This window comes from Homo sapiens, chromosome 17, assembly GCF_000001405.40.
Source record: "Homo sapiens chromosome 17, GRCh38.p14 Primary Assembly".
NCBI classification, from domain to species: Eukaryota; Metazoa; Chordata; class Mammalia; order Primates; family Hominidae; genus Homo; species Homo sapiens.
Window position 1 is genome coordinate 14,158,225 of NC_000017.11, and position 21,598 is coordinate 14,179,822.

General features: G+C 39.9%; 1 protein-coding gene across 1 annotated transcript in view, besides 3 other annotated features; it reads left to right on the forward strand.

The window, feature by feature from the left end:
* The window catches only part of COX10 (cytochrome c oxidase assembly factor heme A:farnesyltransferase COX10), a 139,174-nt gene that overhangs the window by 88,721 nt on the left and 28,855 nt on the right, over positions 1-21,598 (forward strand). The window contains exon 5 of the mRNA NM_001303.4: positions 1,653-1,723. Within this exon, the coding sequence (NP_001294.2) occupies positions 1,653-1,723 (71 nt within the window). The remainder of the gene's footprint in view (positions 1-1,652; positions 1,724-21,598) is intronic.
* Positions 12,310-21,410: a non allelic homologous recombination region, noted in NCBI's record as "sub-region Zone 2, recombines with sub-region Zone 2' within the proximal CMT1A-REP". NCBI's record gives the evidence for it as "EXISTENCE:restriction fragment detection evidence [ECO:0001124][PMID:8651299]".
* Positions 12,310-21,598: part of a biological region, named in NCBI's record as "distal CMT1A-REP", that runs on past the window's edge. NCBI's record gives its function as "recombination_partner: LOC105943587".
* Positions 21,595-21,598: part of a non allelic homologous recombination region, noted in NCBI's record as "sub-region Zone 3, recombines with sub-region Zone 3' within the proximal CMT1A-REP", that runs on past the window's edge. NCBI's record gives the evidence for it as "EXISTENCE:restriction fragment detection evidence [ECO:0001124][PMID:8651299]".

A 21,598-nucleotide genomic window follows, 5' to 3' on the forward strand; every position in this document is an offset into this window, starting at 1 on the left:
AAGACATCGTAAAAAAAAAATTAAAAGTAGGTAGTTTGTAGTATAGGATATGGGGAAAGGAAACATATGTCAAAGTTTTTTACAAAATTAAAGGGAACACAACTTACCAGATGTCCCAAACTTATGGGGAAAAATTCTACATTTCTCAAATAGTTCAGAATAAATTTTCTTTCATTTTTAACATATACTTCTTAGTAAATCATACTAGATGACTTGTAAAAGTACAATAAAATAGAATGTCACTTATTTGTCTTTTTAGCACTAGTGTTTATTTTTTTCTAATATTTATAGAACACATATTGAGTACAACACACTCTACAAAGAGCTATGATTCATACAGACATAAGTAAGAAATGATCCCTGCCACTCAAATCTAGTCAGACCAGGAATTTCTGAAATCTGTTACTTACGTTTCTCTTGAAAAAAGGTTTCATGGTGAAATAAATTTGGGAAACACTGCCTAAAGTAAGGTTAATTTGGTTTCTTCACTTTGGGATTTCTCAGAGATTTTATTGTGCTCATATGATTTGACCATAGAGTCGTTCTTCCTGGGAGCATCTCCGGGGATGGTAAGGGAACATAGCTGGGGAAGTACTGACTTCAGCCTTCCATTGAATTATTGTTTCGTCTGTTGATTTGGTTCTAGCCCATTTAGTCAAAGATTTCTTAAATAATAACCTAATCAGCACATTTTTTGAGTACTCTGTTTTACCAAAAAAGGAGACAAGTAAGAGACATTAATAACAAATTTAAGAACATACTTGTACAGTTTGTCAAGGCTTTGGAAAATTAGTTTTGATAATACCTTGGGCCTTGTCTTTTAATAGGTAAACAATTAAAACTGTACTTCATTGTTAGGATGACCATACCAATCTATTGTCCAAGCTAGGATGCTTTCAGAGTGAGAGAGGTTGCTGTTAATGATGCTGGCACCAAGATGTAAATTAGAACTATCCTGGGCAGAATAGGATGATTACCTTCATTGCAGTATAACCTCAGTTTCATCTGAGATCTCTGAGATCTTAATTACGTCAGCCCTGGTTCTTTACATCAGTAGCCCATTCCCCAGGGTCAGTTGATTCTTGGTTGATTCTCAGGCTTTGGGTTGTGTGAAAGATTCTGAAATTATTTACAACGCTAATGCTTCAAACCTGAAACTATACAGTTGAGCCTTGAATGACATGGGTTTGAACTGTGTGGGTCCACTTATACGTGGATTTATTTCAACCAAACACAGACTGCAGGATGTGAAACTTGAACTTAAAGAGGGACCACATTTTCTCATAGGCAGGTTCTGGAGGGCCTACTGCGGGAGTTGAGTATGTGTGGATTTGGTTATCCACACATGGGGGGTCCTAGAGCCAATTGTCTGCATATGCCAAGGGACTTGGCTACTTGTATGTTTAACAGGTGATTTTCAAAGTGGATAAAAGTAGATATTCCTGACACCTAGTGCAAATTATTGTTGTTGTTTTGGTTTTTTGTTTGTTTGTTTGTTTTTTTGGAATTTTTCTTCAAGAAGTGCCAGGGTATTGATTTATGCTATCGAAATTAAAATGAAGTTTACTACAGAAAAAATGTTCAGTACTAAAGCGGAAGAAAAGAATTGTTTTATAGTTAATGTTTTCTGTCTTTTTTCATTCTTTTTACAGTTTTTTGAGGTGCCATTTGACTCAAACATGAATAGGACAAAGAACAGACCGCTGGTTCGTGGACAGATCAGGTAAAATCACGAATACAAGTGTCTTCCACATTATAAAACATTCATTTGCTTGTTCATCTGAATCATTTCCCACTATTTTGCTTTGAGCTGCGAAGTGGAAATAAAATACCCACAAAGAAACAAAGTGATATGGAAATGCAATACTTTCCACCTCTAACCAAAGTGTGTTACAAAGCACTTAAGATGGATGTAAGAGTGGCAGGGTTTTTTTTTATGGTAGTAACTTATGTGATATATATATATTTTTAATTCCACTTTGAAGCATAGACTTTCTTTCATTTGTAGTGGCTGAAGATAAAAACATTGCATTAACGCAAATGATCTTCAGACAAATCCATCTAGGGTCTCAGAAGAAGGATATGTCTGAAATCTTACTTTTTCAGATAAACTGATAATGCTGTTGTATGCCAAGTAAAGTACTGCCTCCATCACTCTCCACCAGTTGCAATTAAGTAGAAATAAAAGGCATATAAATATTTTAACATCACTAATGGTTAATAATTAAACATTTTACTTCCTGGAGACCTCTAAACCGGCATTTAAAAAACTTTTTTTTTAACCTAATATATATTACAAGCCTAGAAGAATAAAAAGGGCCAAATGGTTTATACTGACTATGTAAATCACTGGATTCTTTCTTCACGTTTCCAGGCAATGCCCTCATGGAGCTTAAAATTTATTGTGATAACACTTGTGAATCAAATGATCACACATATTTAAGTAAAATAATAAAGGAAGCAAGTGTATATGCAGTCAGATTAATCTATGCAGAAATGATCTTTAATATTAGCTGGTTTTAGACATTTCTCAATGAATTTAAAATATCATTATAGTAAAAAGGGCAATAGAACCAGATGAAAAGATATAAGAACAAAAAGCTCACATCTACTGATATTTTATTTCCTTTTTCTGAAATATAAACAAAGGTATATGGTGTGTTTGAGGTTTAGAAACTGTCAAAAGTACTTTTATTTGGGTAGATCTGTTTTAGAGGGGAAAATGCAAAGTCTGTAACCTATCTCAAGAGCTAAAAGCTGCTCTCGCCACTGGTAATGCTTTGGAATTTCTGTTCAGTCATTTTTCCTCAGTGAAATTATACCCTCCTTTAGAACCAGGGAATTGTAGGAATAGGCCCAGCAAGTAGTCTTTAAGCATAATCAGATAAAGGCTCATCATTTTAAACAGCCCATCTTACTTTGTCCAGTGTGGTGGAAGCACAACCTGTTAGTACTCAGGAGGGAGCATTGGGGCCTTAGCTGTTGTAATTGGCAACACTGTCCTTTTAAAGGGGGTTTGGATCATAATCCCAAAAGACACAGTCCCAAATATTGAAGTCTCAAAAGATCAAAATTCCTAAAGTCTAGAATCCCTAATGTCCAAAGGCCCGAAAATTCCAATCACAGGATAGTAAAATCATGTTAGGTGGAACTATCACTTTAATCTTTATTTAAAAATTAAGTATGGTTTAAGGAGGTGCATATGGATGCCAGGTTAACAAGGGGTGAACTTGTGGACTTAATTATAGGTGTCAGCTTGACTAGATTGAAGAATACCTAGAAACCAGGGAAAGCATTATTTTGGGTGTGTCTGTGAGGGTGTTTCCAGAGGAGGATAGTGTGTGAATCTGAGTGGAGTAGATAGGGAAGATTTGCCCTCAGTATTGGTGGGTAACATCCAGCTGGCTGGAGGCTGGAAGAGAACAGATAAAGAAAGTGAATTGGTATCTCTCTAAGAGCTGAGACAGACTTATCTTCTGCTGCCTTAGACATCAGAACGCCAGGCTTGCTGGCCTTTGGACTCCAGGACATACACCAGGAGCCCCCTGGGTCCTGAGGCTTTCAGCCTGAGCTGGAAAGCTCCTAGGGTCATTGACATCCTAGGGTCTCCAGCTTGCAGATGGCCTGTCGTGGGACTTCTCAGCCACCATAATTGCATGAGCCAATTCCCCTTAACAAATCCCCTCTCATATATCTATATACACATCCTATTGGTTCTGTATCCCTGTAGAACTCTGACTAATACAGATTTGCCACTGGGGAAGCCAAATATTATTCCTTCTTACCGTATTTCTTACAGCACAATGGAAGAGATCTGTGATATTGTTCCCTCTAAAAAAAGACTATGATAAGTTAAGTGTATGAGGCTACCTAATGGTGAAAGATAAAAATTTTAAAGCTAATTATTATTGGTGCTTTGAAAGCAGAAAATTGCTTAATTGCAACAGCTGGCAATAACCAGACTTTCAAATGGATAGCATATACTTATAAAATTTGTAGACCACAATCACTTTCAGAATACAAGTGTAATGAGTGTTTTGAAGATCATAGAAGTGAAAATACTGGCAAAAAATACAAGAAATCTTCTCTGCCAAATTATGCTGTCATGTACAACTTCTACCCCTTCACACATAACGCTATATTTGCCTTCAAAAAAATGCCCTTCATCAGAGAATAAAAGGAATTCAACAAGCCCAGGGACCTCCTGAACCAAAGACACTTGCTGATATTGAGGTTTCTCTAGTGTCACAAAAAAACATTAAATGGTGACCTATTCTTGATTAGTGATTTGACTGTCAAAGAAGACAGACTTCTTATATTTACCTCTAAGTCTGATATAGAAAAATCAGCACATGTTTTACGTTGGCTAATGGATGGCACTTTCAAAACTATCCCTGCTTTTTTTTTTTTTTTATCAACTACATAGAATTTATGCCCCTGTTGGATCCACAAATTCTAGAATTTATTCCCTCCTTTATGTATTAATGACTGGAAAATGTGAAGCAGTTCATATATACTTATTTGAAGATTTGGAGGACTTTGCAAAAGAAAATGGATTGTAATCGAATCCTCAAACACAGATATAGAGTTAGGTGCGATGAAGGCATCTAAAGTAAATTTCAAGATGTTACCAATAAAGTTTATTTTTTCCATTCAGCCCAGTGCATTTGGCGGAAAATTCAGATGAGCGGGTTGGCTACATAATTTGGCAACACTGAAATCCGAAAACCTCACTTTAAAAATACATCATTTGCCTGCATTGGCATTCCTTCCAACTTACAACATTCCAGGAGCTTTTAATAAATTAAAGCTGCATTTGCCTGAAGAAGCCAATAAAGTTACTGACTGGTTTGAAAATAATCATGTGCGTGTTAGGATAAGATGACATGAAATGGTGCTGCTCTTCAACCACCAGTATTGTTTCCACCAGATTTATGTTCTGTATATGGGTCCATGTGGAATGGATTTCCTTTTACCCAAAATAACATAGAAGCATGGCATAAGACAGGAAAATTTATTTATTTATTTATTTATTTATTTATTTATTTAGAGACAGAGTCTCACTCTCTTGCCCAGGCTAGAGTGAGTGGCGTGATCTTGGCTCACTGCAACCTCCACCTCCCAGGTTCAAGCGATTCTCCTCCCTCAGCCTCCCAAGTAGTTGGGACTACAGGCACGTGCCACCACACCTGGCTAATTTTTTTGTATTTTTATAGAGATTGGGTTTCACCGTGTTGGCCAGGCTGGTCTTGAACTCCTGACCTCAAGTGATCCACCTGGCTTGGCCTCCCAAAGTGCTGGGATTACAGGCATGAGCCACTGCGCCTGGCTGCAAAAATTTAATAAGGAATGCTCATGTCAGTTTATATCAAATCATAGAAGAGTTTCAAAAAGATCAGAACCACATTGAAAATGAATGTGAATGTATTCTCCAAGGAGAGCCATGTCTTAAAAGAAAAAAAGCAGCTATTCATCGTGATGCAAGAAATCAAAATATAGGTAATGATTGTGAAAGTCGGCCTGCTCTAATGGACTGTCTCTGTTCAGTTGCTCATAATCTATCCCTGTAATAATCTTTCATTTGTCTGATTTTCTTTTTTAGTTTTTTTCTTTCTCTCTTTTCAGTTTTTTTCACAATTTTAAATTGTCAGCTTTGTTTTTACAATTCACTCTATGCTATGTATTTCATCTGCACATCATTTCCAATTCTGGAGGTGTAGATGGTGTAAAGCCTTTTAGAGTTCTAATTCACTTTATGTGTTTTTTGCAAATCTGACTCCACAAAGTGCATTATCACAAATTTGGCTTTGTGTATTAGCATTGTGCGTGTATGTAAAAACACCGACAGTTCCTCAACAAATGAAAAGATGTCCTTTTTATATATCTGTGTTTGTGAAAGATAAAAGTTCTCAAGATCTTGGCTCTAGGGACTGTGTATGTGGTGGTGGTGTCCCATCATGGTTTTTGAGCAATCTTGTGAAAAGGCTTAGGTTGTTTGCCATGGTATTTCAGAGGAACACAGTTATACCGCTGGCTGCACACCATTACCATCCTTAGTGATATGCATTTATACAGTTCCTTTGACCTCTTTATGAATAAGGTTTGTCTGCTTCTAACTGTTATGCCCATGTGACTGTCATTAGTATACCTGAGTGTTTGTGCTTGCACAAATGTATATCTTATTATTGTCTATTTTATTGTGTAAAGTGGCTTATAAAATGTTCTATCATGTTTTTGTATGTTTCTCAAATTCCCTTTTAAAAATGTACAGAAATATCTTTTAAAGAATTTTTAAATTATTTTTTCCAGAATTATATTTTCAGGATTTTGATCTTTTGGGATTTTAGACTTTAAGGATTTTGATTTTTCCAGATTTCATCATTTGGGATTATGGCGTTCTGTTGAGGAAAATAAACAACGGGTTTCTAAACATCCCTTTGTGCAAGCCATAGACAAAATGGCAAAGAATAGATCCCCGTGAGAACCGTTTAGAGTATGTGACCTTGGAGCAAGTGAGGAAGAAGAAGCCCTTCGCCAGACATTATAGCTCAAAGATGTATCTCTAGCTATTCAGCTAGATCCAGAGATTAAATTGAGTCAGTGAAAGAAAGGAGAGGTGTCATTGTTATGTGTATATCAGGTGATTAGGATGAAAGAGATCACGTAGGGAAAGTGTTTTCCCACGTAGCATGATTGTAATATGGGCTGAAGGTCAAATGGGTTTGCCTAGGTCAGTCCTGGTTTGCCCCAACAGAATTATTGATAACGTCCTCTTTCCCTTTCAACAATGCCCAGTTTGGATGTTAACTACATGTCACCCCGTACAGAGGGAAAGATGATTATGATGCTCACAGAATTTCCTTATTTCTAAAGCTTTTTCATGCAAATTGGCATTGCTTCTTTTGCTTAGAAGAGAAAAACATATAAATGTAAAGTGTAATGTATCTAAATTATTATAGTTTGCAGGTATGCAGGCATACCTCATTTTATTGCACTTTGCTTTATTATGCTTCATAGATACTACATTTTTTACAAATTGAAGGCCTGTGGTAAACCTGCAGCAAACAAGTCTGTTGGTGCAGATTTTTGCAGCAGCATATGGTCACTTTGTGTCTCTGTGTCACACTTTGATAATTCGTACAGTATTTCAAGCTTTTTTATTATTATATCTGACATGGTGATCAGTGATGTTTGATGTTACTGTTGTAATTGTTTTGGGGCACCATAAGCCGTGCCCATAAAAGACAGCAAACTTAATCGATAAGTGGTTGTGTGTGTTTTGACTGCTCCACCAACTGGCAGTTTCCCCATCTCTCTCCTGCTCCTTGGACCTCCCTATTCCCTGAGAACCAACAATATTGAAATTAGCCCAATTAATAACCCTACAATAGCCTTGTGTGTGCAAGTGAAAGGGACAATTGCTTGTCTCTCACTTTAAGTCAAAAGCTAGAAATGATTAAGCTTAATGAGGAAGGTGACATGTTAAAAGCTGAGATAGGCTGAAGGCTAGGCCTCTTGCACCAAACAGCCATGTTGTGAATGTAAAGGACAAGTTATTGAAGGAGATTAAAAGTGCTACTTCAGTGAATACACAAATGATAAGAAAGTGAAACAGTCTTACTGCTGATATGAAGAATGTTTTAGCAATCTGGCTATATCTAAGCAGCCACAGCATTGCCTCACACGAAAGCCTAATCCAAAGCAAGGCCCTAACTCTCTTCAGTTTTATGAAGGCTGAGAGAGGTGAGGAAACTGCAGAAGAAAAGTTTGAAGCTGACAGGGATTGGTTCATGAGGTTTAAGAAAAGAAGCTGTCTTCAAAACAAAAAGTGCAAGGTGAAGCAGCAAGTGCTAATGGAGAAGCTGCTGCAAGTTATCCAGAAGATCTAGCTATAAGTTCATTGATGAAGGTGGCCACACTGAACAATAGAGTTTTCATATAGACGAGACAACCCTCTATTGGAAGAAGATGCCATCTAGGACTTTGATAGCTAGAGGGGAGAAGTCAATGCCTCACTTCAAAACTTCAAAGGATAGGCTAACTCTCATTAGAGGCTAAGACTGATGCTATCTTTGAGTTGAAGCCAGTGCTCATTTACCATTCCAAAAATCCTAAGACTCTTAAGAATTACACTAAATCTATTCTGCCTGTACTCTATAAATGGAAAACAAAGCCTGGATACCAGTACATCTGATTGCAACATGGTTTACTGAATATTTTGAAACCTGTTGCTCAGAGGAAAAGATTGCCTTCAAAATATTACTGCTTATTGACAATGCACCTGGTCACCCAAGAGCTCTGATGGAGATATACAAGGAAACTAATGTTTTCATGCCTGCCAACACAACATCCATTCTGCAGCTCATGGATCAAAGAGTCAATTCGACCTTTTTTTTTTTTTTTTTTTTTGAGACAGTCTTCCTCTCACTCAGGCTGGAGTACGGTGGTGCGATCTCAGCTCACTGCAACCTCTGCCTCCTGGGTTCAAGCGATTCTCCTGCCTCAGCCTCCTGAGTAGCTGGGATTACAGGCATGTGCCACCACGCCTGGCTATTTCTTTCTTTTTTTTTTTTTTTTTTTTTTGTATTTTTAGTAGAGATGGGGTTTCACCATGTTGGTCAGGCTGGTCTCGAACTCCTGACCTTGTGATCCGCCCTCCTCAGCCTCCCAAAGTGCTGGGATTGCAGCCGTGATTGACTTTTTAGTTGTATTTAAGAAATACATTTTGTAAGGATGTTGCCATAGATCGTGATTCCTCTGATGGATCTGGGCAAAGCAAATTAAAAACTGTCTGGAAAGGATTCACCATTCTATATGCCATGAAAAACATTCATGATTCAGGGAGGAGGTTAAAATGTCAACATTAACAGGGGTTTGAAAAAAGTTGCTTCCAACTCTAATGTATGACCTTGAGGAGTTTAATACTTCAGTGGAGACAGATACGAAAGAAATAGCAAGAGAATGAGAATTAGAAACAGACCCTAAAGATGTGACTGGATAGCTGCAATCTCATGATAAAACTTGAACACATGAAGAATTGCTTCTTATGGATGAGTAAAGAAAGTGGTTTCTTGAGACCCAATGTATTTCTGACGAAGATGCTGTGAACATTGTTGAAATGAAAACAAAGGATTTAAAATTTTATATTAACTTGGTAGATAAAGCAGTGTCAGAGTTTGAGAAGACTAACTCCAATTTTGAAAGAAGTTCTACTGTGGGTAAAATGCTATCAAATAGCACTGCATGCTGCAGAGAAATCTTTCATGAAATGGAGAGTCAATCAGTTGGGCAGTGTATTAGTTCATTTTCGCACTGATATAAAGAACTACCTGAGACTGGGTCATTTATAAAGAAAAGAGGTTTAATTGACTCATAGTTCCACATGGCTGAGGAGGCCTCAGGAAACTTACAAGCATAGTAGAAGGTGAAGCAGAAGCAAGCACCTTCCTACATGGTAGCAGGAGAGAGAAACAGCAAAGGGAGAACTGCCACAAACTTTTAAACCATCAGATCTTGTGAGAACTCCCTATCATGAGAACAGCATAGGGGAAACCACACCCGTGATCCAACCGCCTCCCAGCAGGTCCCTCCCTCGACATATGAGAATTACAATTTGAGATGGGATTTGGTGGGGACACAGAGCCAAACCATATCATTCCACCCCTGGCTCCTCCCAAATCTCATGTCCTTCTCACATTTCAAAACACAATCATGCCTTCCCAACAGTCCCTCAAAGTCTTAACTCATTCCAGCATTAACTCAAAAGTCCAAGTCCAAAGTCCCATCTGAGACAAGGGAAATAAATCCCTTTCACCTATGAGCCTATAAATTCAAAAGCAAGTTAGTTACCTACAAGATACAATGAGGGTACAGGCATTGGCTAAATGCTCCCATTCCAAGTGGGAGAAATTGGCCAAAACAGAGGGGCTACAGGCCCCATGCATGTCCGAAACCCAAAAGGGCCATCATTAAATCTTAAAGCTCCAAAATAATCTCTTTTGACTCCATGTCTCACATCCAGGGCACACTGATGCAAGGTTGGGCTCCCAAGGCCTTGGGCAGTTCTGCTCCTGTGGCTCTGCAGGGTACAGCCCTCATGGCTGCTTTCATGGGCTGCCATTGAGTGCCTCTGGCTTTTCCAGGCACATAGTGCAAGCTGTCAGTGGATCTACCATTCTGAGGTGTGGAGGATGGTAGCTGTCTTCTCACAGCTCCACTAGGCAGTGCTCTAGTGGGGACTCTATATGGGGGCTCCAACCCCACATTACCCTAGCAGAGGTTCTCCATGAGGGCTCAGCCCTTGCATGCAGCAGACTTCTGCCTAGACATCCAGGCATTTCCATACTCTGAAATCTAGGCAGAGGCTCCCAAAGCCCAGCTCTTGTCTTCTGTGCAGCTGCAGGCCCAACACCATGTGGAAGCAACCAAGGCTTGGGGCTTGCACCTTCTGAAGCCATGGCTTGAGCTGTACCTTGGCTCTTTTTAGCCCCAGCTGGAGCTGGAACGGCTGGGAAACAGAGTGCCCACCATGTCCTGAGGCTGTACAGAACAGCAAGGCCCTGGGCTCAGCCCACGAAGCCATTTTTCACTCCTATGCCTCTGGGCCTGTGATGGGAGGGGCTGCAGCAAAGATCTCTAGAATGCTCTGGAGAGATTTTTCCCATTCTCTTGGCAATTAACATTATGCTCTTCATTACTTAACGCAAATTTTCTGCAGGCAGCTTGAATTTCTCCCCAGAAAATGGGTTTTTCTTTTCTACCACATGGTAAGGCTGTAGATTTTCCGAACTTTTAAGTTCTGCCTCCCTTTTAAACGTAAGTTCCAACTTCAGACCATCTCTTTGTGAATGCATATGACGGTACACCTTCAGAAAAAGCCAGGTCACCTCTTGAATGCTTTGCTGCTTAGAAATTTCTTCTGCCAGATATCCTAAATCATCTCTCTCAAGTTCAAAGTTCCACAGATCTCTAGGGCAGGGGCATAATGTCTCTTTGCTAAAGCATAGCAAGAGTGACCTTTACTCCAATTCCCAATAATTTCCTTGTCTCCATCTGAGACCACCTTAGCCTGGACTTCATTGTCTGTATCACTATGAGCATTTTGGTTAAAATCATTCAACAAGTCTCCAGGAAGTTCCAGACATTCCCACATCTTCCTGTCTTTTTCTGAGCCCTTCAAATTTTTCCAAGCCCTGCCCATTACCCAGCTCCAAAGTTGCTTCCACATTTTCAGGTATCTTTGTAAGAGCACCCCACTCCTGGTACCAATTTTCTGTATTAGTCCATTTTCACACTGCTGTAAAGAACTACCTAAGACTGGGTCATTTATAAAGAAAAGACGTTTAATTGACTCACAGTTCCACATGGCTGGGGAGGCCATATGGACCAACAAACTGACTTGTTTGAACATTTCTGGCAAATCGTTCTGGCTATAATGTTTGTTGTAATGAGGGAGTTAGATTTAGAGCCTCCTTTTATTCTCTGGCAAAGAACACACCTTAGAGTGCATATGTTACATATTAGGGACTTACATTGAAGGGTGAACACTTTGGTTTGGATGTGGTTTGTTTGTCCTCACCAAAACTTGTGTTGAAAGTTGATCCCTAATGTTTTGGTGTTGGGAGGTAGGGTCTAGTGGGAGGTGTTCGGGTTATGGGATCAGATTCTTCATGAATGGCTTGGTGCTGTTGTCATGGTGAATTCATTCCTGCTCTCAGGAGACTGGATTAGTTCTCATGGGAATGGGTTAGTCTCTGAGAGAGTGGGTTGTCTTAAAGCAGGATGGCCTCAGGTTTTCCCATTTGTACATGTCTGCTTCCCTGTTGACCTTCTTTGCTATATTTTGATGCTGTATGAAAGCTCTCACCAGAAGCCAGAGCCATGCCCTTGAACTTCACAGCCTACAGAACAGTGAGCTAAGTAAACTTTTTAAATAAATTACCCAGTCTCAAGTATTGTTTTATAGCAACACAAAATGGACTAATATATTGAGTAAACCCGTTTTACAAGTTGAATCTGCAAACTCAGTCATGCAATGAAGGTAAATGTCAGAGAAGTTTAATCTCTTAATATAAAGTTAGATTCAGTATTATCCAGTTTTTTTAACTTGGTGACTGGAAAAAGCCAATTAGCAATTTTACAAATTTTTATGTAATAAATAACATGTCAGTCTTCAGGTATTCTTCATGTGATTATCATGGTCTGATGAAAAATGTTACTTAACTGACTCTAAGCATGACAAGTCATTTAATTAATCTTTCCACATTACTGCTTCCTCATGTGTGAAGAAGAATCTTAATTGCTAGCCTAGGCCAGGTGCATGGTTCACACCTATAATTTCAACAATTTGGGAGGCAAAGGTGGGCAGATCGCTTGAGGCCAGCAGTTTGAGACCAGCCTGAGCAACGTAGTGAGACCCTGTCTTTACAGAAAAAAATTTTAAAATTAGCCGAGCATGGTGGCACACTCCTGTCATCCCAGCTCCTTAGAGGCTGAGGCAGGAGGATTGCTTGAGCCCTGGATTTGGAGGTTACAGTGAGCTATGATTGCACCACTGTACTCCAGCCTGGGGAACAGAGTGAAATCCTGTCTCAGAGAAAAGAAAAATTCTAACCTGTTCATCTCATAACATTATTATGGATATAATAATAAGATCACTAAAATCATGTAAATAAAAGTACATTGTTAGGGAAGAGGTTTAAAACTGTAGAGAAATATAGAGTTGTTTACAGAATTTGAATGTCTTTAAAATTTGCTTGAAAATATAATACTTGTCAGCTAATAACATAAAAAAGAAATTCAAGTTATTTTCAAAGGATGGGGAGAAGTAAGCAAAAACACACGCTGAATAAGCAAACTCAGAGTGAAAACTGTGTTTCCATTATGATTAAGTTGGTAGGCAAAAAATACTCAGTGGAAAGTAGAGTGGTGGGTTATTGAACCTTTCCCTCATACTATCATCATCGGAACACTTTTGTGGAGTGTTGTCTATGTAGAAAAGGGTGCTAGTTCCCAAGGTTGCAGAGAGGTAAATAACATGGTCTTCATTCTCTTGGAATCACGTCGAGGAGATGGCAACACACGTGCATTAAAAGGACACTAAGTGTTGTCAAAGGTACATTTCACTCAACAAATGTGTTTTTTTAGTGCACATGCCAGCCAGGCATGGTGCTCGACCCTGGAGGTGCAGTGGTGACTAAGGCACACTTCTGTGTCTTGTGGGGTTCTGAGTCATGAAGCACCTCATATGTGTGTAATGTGCTAAATACTACAAGGACAGGCCCAGTGTGACGTGGGAGCACAAAGAGAAGTATCTACCTCAAACTGAGGAGACCAAGGATTACTTCTCAGGGAATGCGTCTTGAAGCTGAGAACCAAAGGTTGAGTAAGAAATAAGCCATTCTGCCTGTTCCCTGCTGAGCTCTTGTTTCTGTTCCTTCCTCCTCCACCTACTCTAGTTTGGTGGTCCTTAATCTCCTCCTCATCTCACTTCCCTGCATTTGCTACACTCCACACTGTCTGTACCTCCAACCCAGATTGCTTTTCTGAGCCTAGTTCCTCTGAAAATCTATTGGGCTGCCCCTGCAGGCAGCTCACATTTTGTGTGTATTCACCCCAATTCACTTTCTTTCCCAAATCTTTTTCCTTAATACCTTAATTTATGTTCCAAAGTCAGGCACCTATAAGCCATCCTAGACACTCTTTTTCTGTTATCTCCTTCATCTGATTACTCAACAGATTGTGTCTTTTCAACCCCCTGATTTACCCTGGAATCTGTGCCCTCTCACCTCAGTGCTTTAGCTTCAGCCCATCATCAGTTTTGCGTGGGTTATTACAGCACATCCCAGCTGACTTCTCTGCCTTCTTCCTAACCCTCCTTCCATCTGTCTTCCACTCAACTGGCAGATAGGTCTTCCGTAAGTGATCACTGTTTCACCAAACATATTTAAGACAAAACACATATCTTTGCTGTGATGAAAAGTACTATAATAAACATGAGTACAGGTATCTTTTTGATTAATGTTGATTTCTTTCCTTTTGGGTAGATACTCAGTAGTGGGATTACTAGATCAAATGGTAGTTCTATTTTTAGTTATTTGGGAGATCGCCATACTATTTTCCATAGAGGCTATACTAATTTACATGCCCCGTCAACAGTGTGTAAGAGTTCCCTTTTCTCTGCATCCTCATCAACATCTTCGTTTTTTGTCTTTTTATAATAACAATAGCTCTTCTGACTGGGGTAAAATGATATCTCAGTATGGTTTTAATTTTCATTCCTCTGATGATTAGTGATGTTGAGCATTTTCTCGTATACCTTTTGGCTATTCGTATGTCTTCTTTTTTTCTTTTTCTTTTTTTTTTTTTTTTTTTTGAGACAGGTCTTGCTCTGTTACTTAGGCTGGAGTGCAGTGGCAGGACTATGGCTCACTGCACCCTTAACCTCCAGAACTCGTGATCCTCCCCGCTCAGCCTCCCAAGTAGCTGGAATTACAGGTGCCAGTCGCTGGGCCTAGGTAATTTTTTTTTACTTTGTGTGGCCGGTTTCGAACTCCTGGGCTCAAGCGTTTCTCCTGCCTTGGCCTCCTAAAGTGCTGGGATTACAAGTGCGAGCCAACACACCCAGCTAATTTTGTTTTTAATTTTTTTGTAGACACAGTGTCTCACTATGTTGCCCAGGCTGGTCTCAAACTCCTGGCCTCAAGTGATCTTTCTGTCTTGGCCTCCCAAAGTGCTGGGATTACAGGCATGAGCCACCATGTATGTCTTCTTTCAAAAAATGTCATGTCATTTGCCCACATTTCAATGGCATTATTTGTTTGTTTGTTTGTTTTTACTATTGAGTTGTTTGAATTCCTTGTACATTCTGGGTATTAATACTCTTGTCACGTGGACAGTTTTAGGCACCATTTTCAATACTATATTACAGAGGTGAACAAAACAGAAAAATTCTTGCTGTCGTGGAGCTTGCATGCTAGCCATTATACCTGGCAGGTAGCTAATGCTTAATAATGGATAGATGGACAGGTGGATGGATGATAAGAGAAAGAAATGACCTCCTAGGTGGGAGAAATACAGAAGTAAAGATACCAAAGAAGGAATACATGGCATCTGCTGCCAAGGCAATGAGAAGGCCATTCGGACAGGAGTGGAGAATGAGCGAAGAGACAAAATGAACATCAAGATAGAGAGACAGGCTGTAGACCTTGACAGACAGACTTTGGATAGGTAGAGAATGAAGCAAAGACCATGTCAGGCAAGATGAACATGGTGAGCAAAGATGCAAAGATGGGAGTGCAAAATACATGTGTAAGGATAAAAACAGGCAACCTGGCCAGCTGTAGAGGGAAGGATGTGTATAGGAGAATTGTGAGGAAGTAAAACTGGGAAGAGGTTAAGGAAAATGTACGGACCAGACTACACTGTGAGGGCTGTTCTATAGGAACTGGACCTTGGTCAGTGTTGTTCTGGAGCTCCTGACTAGTATATAATAAGGCAAGAGAGAGAAAGAAAAGGCACATACATTGGAAAGAAATGAAATTCTTTTCACAATGTCATTGTTTACATGGAAAATTCAAAGGAATCTACAGAAAAGCTACTAGGAGTAATAAGTAAATCTAGCAAGGGTATAGAATACAAGGTCAGTATTCCAAAATCAGCTGTGGAATTCCACTTCCAGCATGACAACATGGGCTGCTCCCCAGTGAAACTGGGCTCGGCGGAGGACTCTTCGATAAAACACAAAAGCCACAAACCATGCAAGAAAAGTAGATAAACTGTACTTCATCAAAATTAAAAACTTCTGCTCTTCAGAAGACACTTAAAATGAAAATACAAGCCACAGAGTAGGAGATAACATTTGTAAAATACAGACATGATGAAGAACTCATGTACAGAATATAGAAAGAAGTCTTAAACTCATTAAGAAAAGAACCTTAAAAATAGACAAAAGGGGCCGGGCACAGTGGCTCAGGCCTGTAATCCTAGCCCTTTAGGAGGCCGAAGCAGGAGGACTGCTTGAGCCCAGGAGTTTGAGACCAGTCTGGGCAATATAGTGAGACCTCATCTTTACAAAATTTTTTTAAAAAATTAGGTATGGTGGCATGTGCCTGTAGTCCCAACTACTTGGGAGGCTGAGGAGGGAGGATCACTTGAGCCCAGGAAGCAGATGTTGCAGTCAGCTAAGATGATGCCACTGCACTCAAGTCTGGGTGACAGAGCAAGACCCTGTCAAAAAAAAAAAAAAAAAAAGTGCGTGAAAGATTTAAATAGGCCCTACTCCAAAGAAGAAATACAGGCGTTAAATAAGCAAAAGATTTTCAACGTCAGTAATCATACGGGAAATGCAAATTAAAAACACAATGAGATACCACTACACACCTATTAGCATAACTAACATTTATTAAAAACAACAATACAGTGCTGACAAGGGTGTAGAATACCTGAAGCTCTCTTTTATTGCTAGTGTGAATGCAGAATGGTACAATCAATTCCAAGAACAGTTTGGCAGATTTCAATAAATTTAAACAAAATTTACCATACAATCCCATTCCTGTGTATGTATGGACACATGTCCATACAAAGATCTGTACATGAATATTAGCTTAAATATCACTAAAGACAACCTAAACATCCCTCAGCTGATGAATAGATAAACAAAATACGGCTGAAATACTACTCAGAAATTAAAAGGAACAAACCACTGGTACGTGCAGTGACACGGGTGTGTTTCAAAAGCACTACGTTAAGTGAAAGAAGACAGAGACAAAAGACAGCATGTCGTATGATTCCATTTATATGACATTTTGGAAAGCCAAAACTAGGCACAGAAGTAAGATCAGTGGTTACTGGGAAATAGCGGGGGGGGGGGGGGTGGATAGGAGGGAATTGGCTATAGAGGGGCGTAAGAAACTTTTTGAAAAGATAAATTTATATGTTCTATATCTTGATTGTGGTGGTGGTTACACTATGTTTACCTTTTTTTTTTTTTAACTCAGAACTAACTGTACACTTGCAATGGGTAAATTTGTGTATTGAAAATTATGTTCTGTTTTAGACTAGATTTTCAGAGCACTTGGTTTTTCCTTGGGGAATAGAATGTTGTAGAACATAAGATTTTGGGGTCCGACTGCCTGGAATCAAAGCCTAGCTCCTCTGCCTGCTTCACCTTGCAAGCCTGACCATATTACTAAACTTCTCTGAGGCTCTGTTTCCTCGCCTATAAAATGAGGTTTGTGCCTTCCACCTCATAGAGTTATGTGAGAAAACGACTGTTCTTATAAAGCTGTCAGTAAATGATACTGCTGTCATCATTGTTACTACTTTTTTCAGAATTGTGTCCTCAGCATCTCTGGATGTTACACTCTGTGCTAAATGCTGGAATATGACCAGCATGACCTGATCCCTGCCTTCATTCCAGTCCGGTGGAGAAGGTAGAACTTTAGCCAGTGAACAGTTGAGCTCTAAAAGATCATTCTAGGTGGGCATCAATGGTGCCAAGGAAAGAGACAGAATGATAATACAGAACAATTGGGAGAGAGCACTCCAGAGCGGGAAGGCACTGGGAGGGAGTGGATTGGAGTTGAGAACTGAAGGAGAGTGATGCAGAGATCTGGGGGAACGTACGGTGGCCAGAGTGGGCTTCTACCTGACACTATAAATAGAAAGGCCAGTGTGGTGAGAACATAATGAACAAGGGGCAGGGTGGCACAAGATGAAGACAGAAGGGCTGGAACTCCATGTGCAGTGGGAGAAGCCAGAAATGAGTTGTACAAATGGGGCTGGTGTGATCAGATTTAGGTTAAAAGAACCCCTCAGCTGCCTGGGTAAAGTAGACCGTAGAATCCCAGGAGAGAGACTTGGGGCAGCTCCTGGCATGACTTGATGATAGCTTGGACCAGGGTGGTCACAGCAGAAGTGAAGTTCTGCTGTTACTCAGCTCAAAATTCAGGCTGGCTACCATTGCCTACTCTTCTCTGAAATGTTCCCGTCTCTATTGCCTATGTGTATCTTCACCTTTGTTACAGTGCTATAGCTCTGTCTACCTGTAATTCATTATAAGGGAGAGGAGCAGAGGTGACATTAGAACGTAATCCCAGAGAAGGTGCAGCTCCCCTGTTCAGTCAAATCCTCACAGCCAGCACCAACAGAAATACATTTCTGTTTAGCCAGGCTGCCGATGCTTGTAGCATGAAGAATAATAGAGTAAACCCCGCAGGGAAACAGAACCCCATAGAATTCTCCACCTCTTCTCTACTGAGAGTCTCCTTAAAGGCAGAATGGTTTGAATGCCCAGCCATCTAAATTAGGCTTTTCTTTTGTTCCCTCTTAATTTAACTGAGTGATTCTCAAACTCTAGTGAACACAGTCATTATTTTCCAGAATTGTACATACATAACCTTCCATGTACTTTATGGATGAGTTCAGGGGATTTTAAAGGATAATTTTGAATATAATATAGTTTCACCTTAGGGCTGACCTAAATAAACTGAATAAACTGCAGCTCCACTGTTCCAAGAAATTGAAAATGCATCTGGTCCTAATACAGCTTTGAGTGCCAGTCTTGGTGCTGCTTGCCTGTTTGTTACTGAGCTCCCTTTTGTCTATGTTGTTTCAAATGATGGAGAAAGTGACCTTGAATATATGTAATAAACAAGGAATAGTAAGATAATTGACTGTTTTTGAAATAGTTACAGTAAAAACCCTTTACATTTTAAGCAACATAGAAATTTTCTATAATTTTTTTTTTGCAAATCAAAGGGGAAAATGTTTATAGCTAAAATGCCATTTAATGAGAAAAAAATCAATGCAATGACATTGTCATTTGTTTCATTTTCCCAAGGAGAATACAGAGGACAGTACTTAAGTTTTAGTTATGTTGATTGCTTGTGTGAAATGCTGATTCCTGCCAGCAGTCGCCAGGTGTCTCTCACACTGCTGGGAGAGGAATGTCTCGTCTTCTTCATCTGGTTGCCTCCGTCACTGTTCTAGGGGCTTCTGGCACTGGTGCAAGGCAGAGCTGTGCTTCCTTGGGAGTGTGCCAAGCATTTACTTTGGTTGTTTAGTTCTAGTCTGGGAGCAGACACAAAAGGAAAAAAAAGAAAATACCAACTCCATGTGTCTGAGGTATCACTTATAGTTTAAAAAAAATGATTGTCTTATCATGTTTGGGAAAATACTGGTCTTCCTGTTTTCCTCCTATTTAAATTCATCCTAAAACTTCCAGGGACACAAGAAATTATTAGCTATTTTGACCATCCATTCCAGAAAAGATGGTGGCCTTACAATAATTGCAAGTGGTTAATAGAAACATCCTTTTACAGCTTCTATTTACCAAATGTAGTTCCTGTGGAAGCACTTGACCCCGTGGCTTTCTGCTTTTTATGTCAGCTCTGGGGCCTTTATGATAGAATTATTTATCAGAGTCTTTAATGGCTCGGGGCCACTTGATGAACTTGAGTACACTGTACATCACATCACTTAGGAAGCATCCCAGATGCTCATGGATAAATCTAGAGTCGTGGTGCATTTGGCTAAAGAGCTCCTGCATGTGAGGAAGTCTGGAGAAAAGTGCTCCAGAGGGGTCACAATGGAGCTGTGTTAACCTCTGCTGTCAGCTTCTCACCACGGAGTTTATCCCTATTACTTGGAGCCAAACCACTGCATCTGTTCTCCTTAGGCTGTGTCAGCGCAGCCACCTCACAGCCTCAGGGACCCATGGCTTCCATTCTGGATACTCACACTGGTAAGTGGGACTTGGCAGAGGCCAAATCAAGTAGTTTGTTTCTGACACCTCTGAGCCCATTTCTTTGCCAGTTTTATATCATCACTAGTAACTCCCTTCCCTGTACCTCTTACACATCACACAGGCAGCCAGTGTCCTTGAACACCTTCCACTTAACGAAGCTGCATATCTGCTTGCAACACTCGTCCTAATAGGATAAAAGGATTAAGTAGTTTTAGGGTGGCCAAGAGGAGGGGACAGCAGGAGACAAGTGGTTAAAAGTGAACGTTCCCAATATTTCTTCTAAAATATACCTCAGTTCTTCTCAGGAGGATAAAACCAAGTGTTTTGCCCTAGGAGATTATAGCTGCCAGAGTCTAACACTTATTTTGGAATGTTTCCAGGGGTCCTTGGGACCCCTTTTCTGTCTTATGGTCTTCCGTGCTGTAAGACCTGGAGACCAGCTGGCCTGAATGGAGGTTGTGGGGCCTGAGGGCTCTCCCGGCACCTCTGCCAGCCCTGTCGCCTCATTGGTTCCTTCTCTTCTGACTTCATATTTGACAGGTTGTCCTTCTGTCTTAGACAAAAATCTATTAAATTCGCTGCTCCATCCAGTTACTCTTCTGTTTCTCCTTTTTGTAGCCGACTTCTGGAAAGGGTGGCCTGCTCACCACTTCACTAGTTGCAGCTCAGCTTCCAGCCTCACCATTCATCTCTGCTTTTCTCTGTACTTTCACTGCATTTTTCTCTCTGCATGGCGGCCCTGCCAACCACTCTTCACTTAAATGGACTCATATCAAAATGGCAACCTCAGCCTTAGCCCCTAGGTCCTCCAGCTGAGTTCCCTGTCCCAATTCCAAATCTTTATGAGAGAAAATTTGATTGCTCCAGCTTGGGCCTGATAGTTCCATTTCCCTGGGGCAAAGGAAAGGGTTATAAGGACAATTAAGCATTAGGGATGGGAATGGGAGGACAAAAGTACCTAAGGCAAAGGGAAGGATCCAGGGCAGCTTCCACGGGACTTTACGTGGCACTTGGCCAGATGTGTATCTAAAGCTATGATTCTGCTTTGTAACTTTCTAGCTATAATCTACCTCCCCAACTTTCAACAAACACATTATGTCAAATTCTTTCTGTGTGTTATAATTAAAGCCAAAGAGATTCTTAATATTTACCAAGTCTTAATTTCGCTTCAGAGATGTGTTTCCTAGTTCAGTTAAAATTGGAGTTTCTGTTCATGTTCTCCTTGTTTTCAGAGAAGACAGAGAGATGTAGACACCGTTCATCTACCATCTCTTATCAAACCTGAGGTCCTTCAGACTTATATTTTTAAGGTATCTTATATATATTTTTTAGTGATATCCTTTTTGCTGGTCTATCCTAATTTAATATTTCTTAAAGATGTCAAGGCCTACTGTTTCTTTTAAATATTTTAGAATCAAATAATTATTTTCTTCAATTCCTCAAGAGTGTATTGATCACCTGTAATGTACAAGCACTGTCAGTTTTGTTTTTATAATGCTCAAAGTTTTATAATCTGGGTGAAAAACCTAGCCACATGTATAAAATGCTTAACAGACAGCATAAGGCAGCCCAGAAATATGTGTTGAATGAAATGAATAGATCGGTACAAACAAGAATTTCTCTGGAAAGTCAGACAAAGAAGAAGGACAGAGTGGACAGTGAAAACTTCCTGCAGGCAGAGCCAGGACTGGGCCTTTCTTCTTGTTATTTCAGAGACATCTGTATTTTGATTATGTCTCTTTTGAATTATCTATTTTCCAGCTTGGTAACGCTGACAGGGAAATAATACATGTCAGCATTAGTTTTTCCAACTTAATGGATCAGATGAGAGTGATCCATAACATGTAAGCT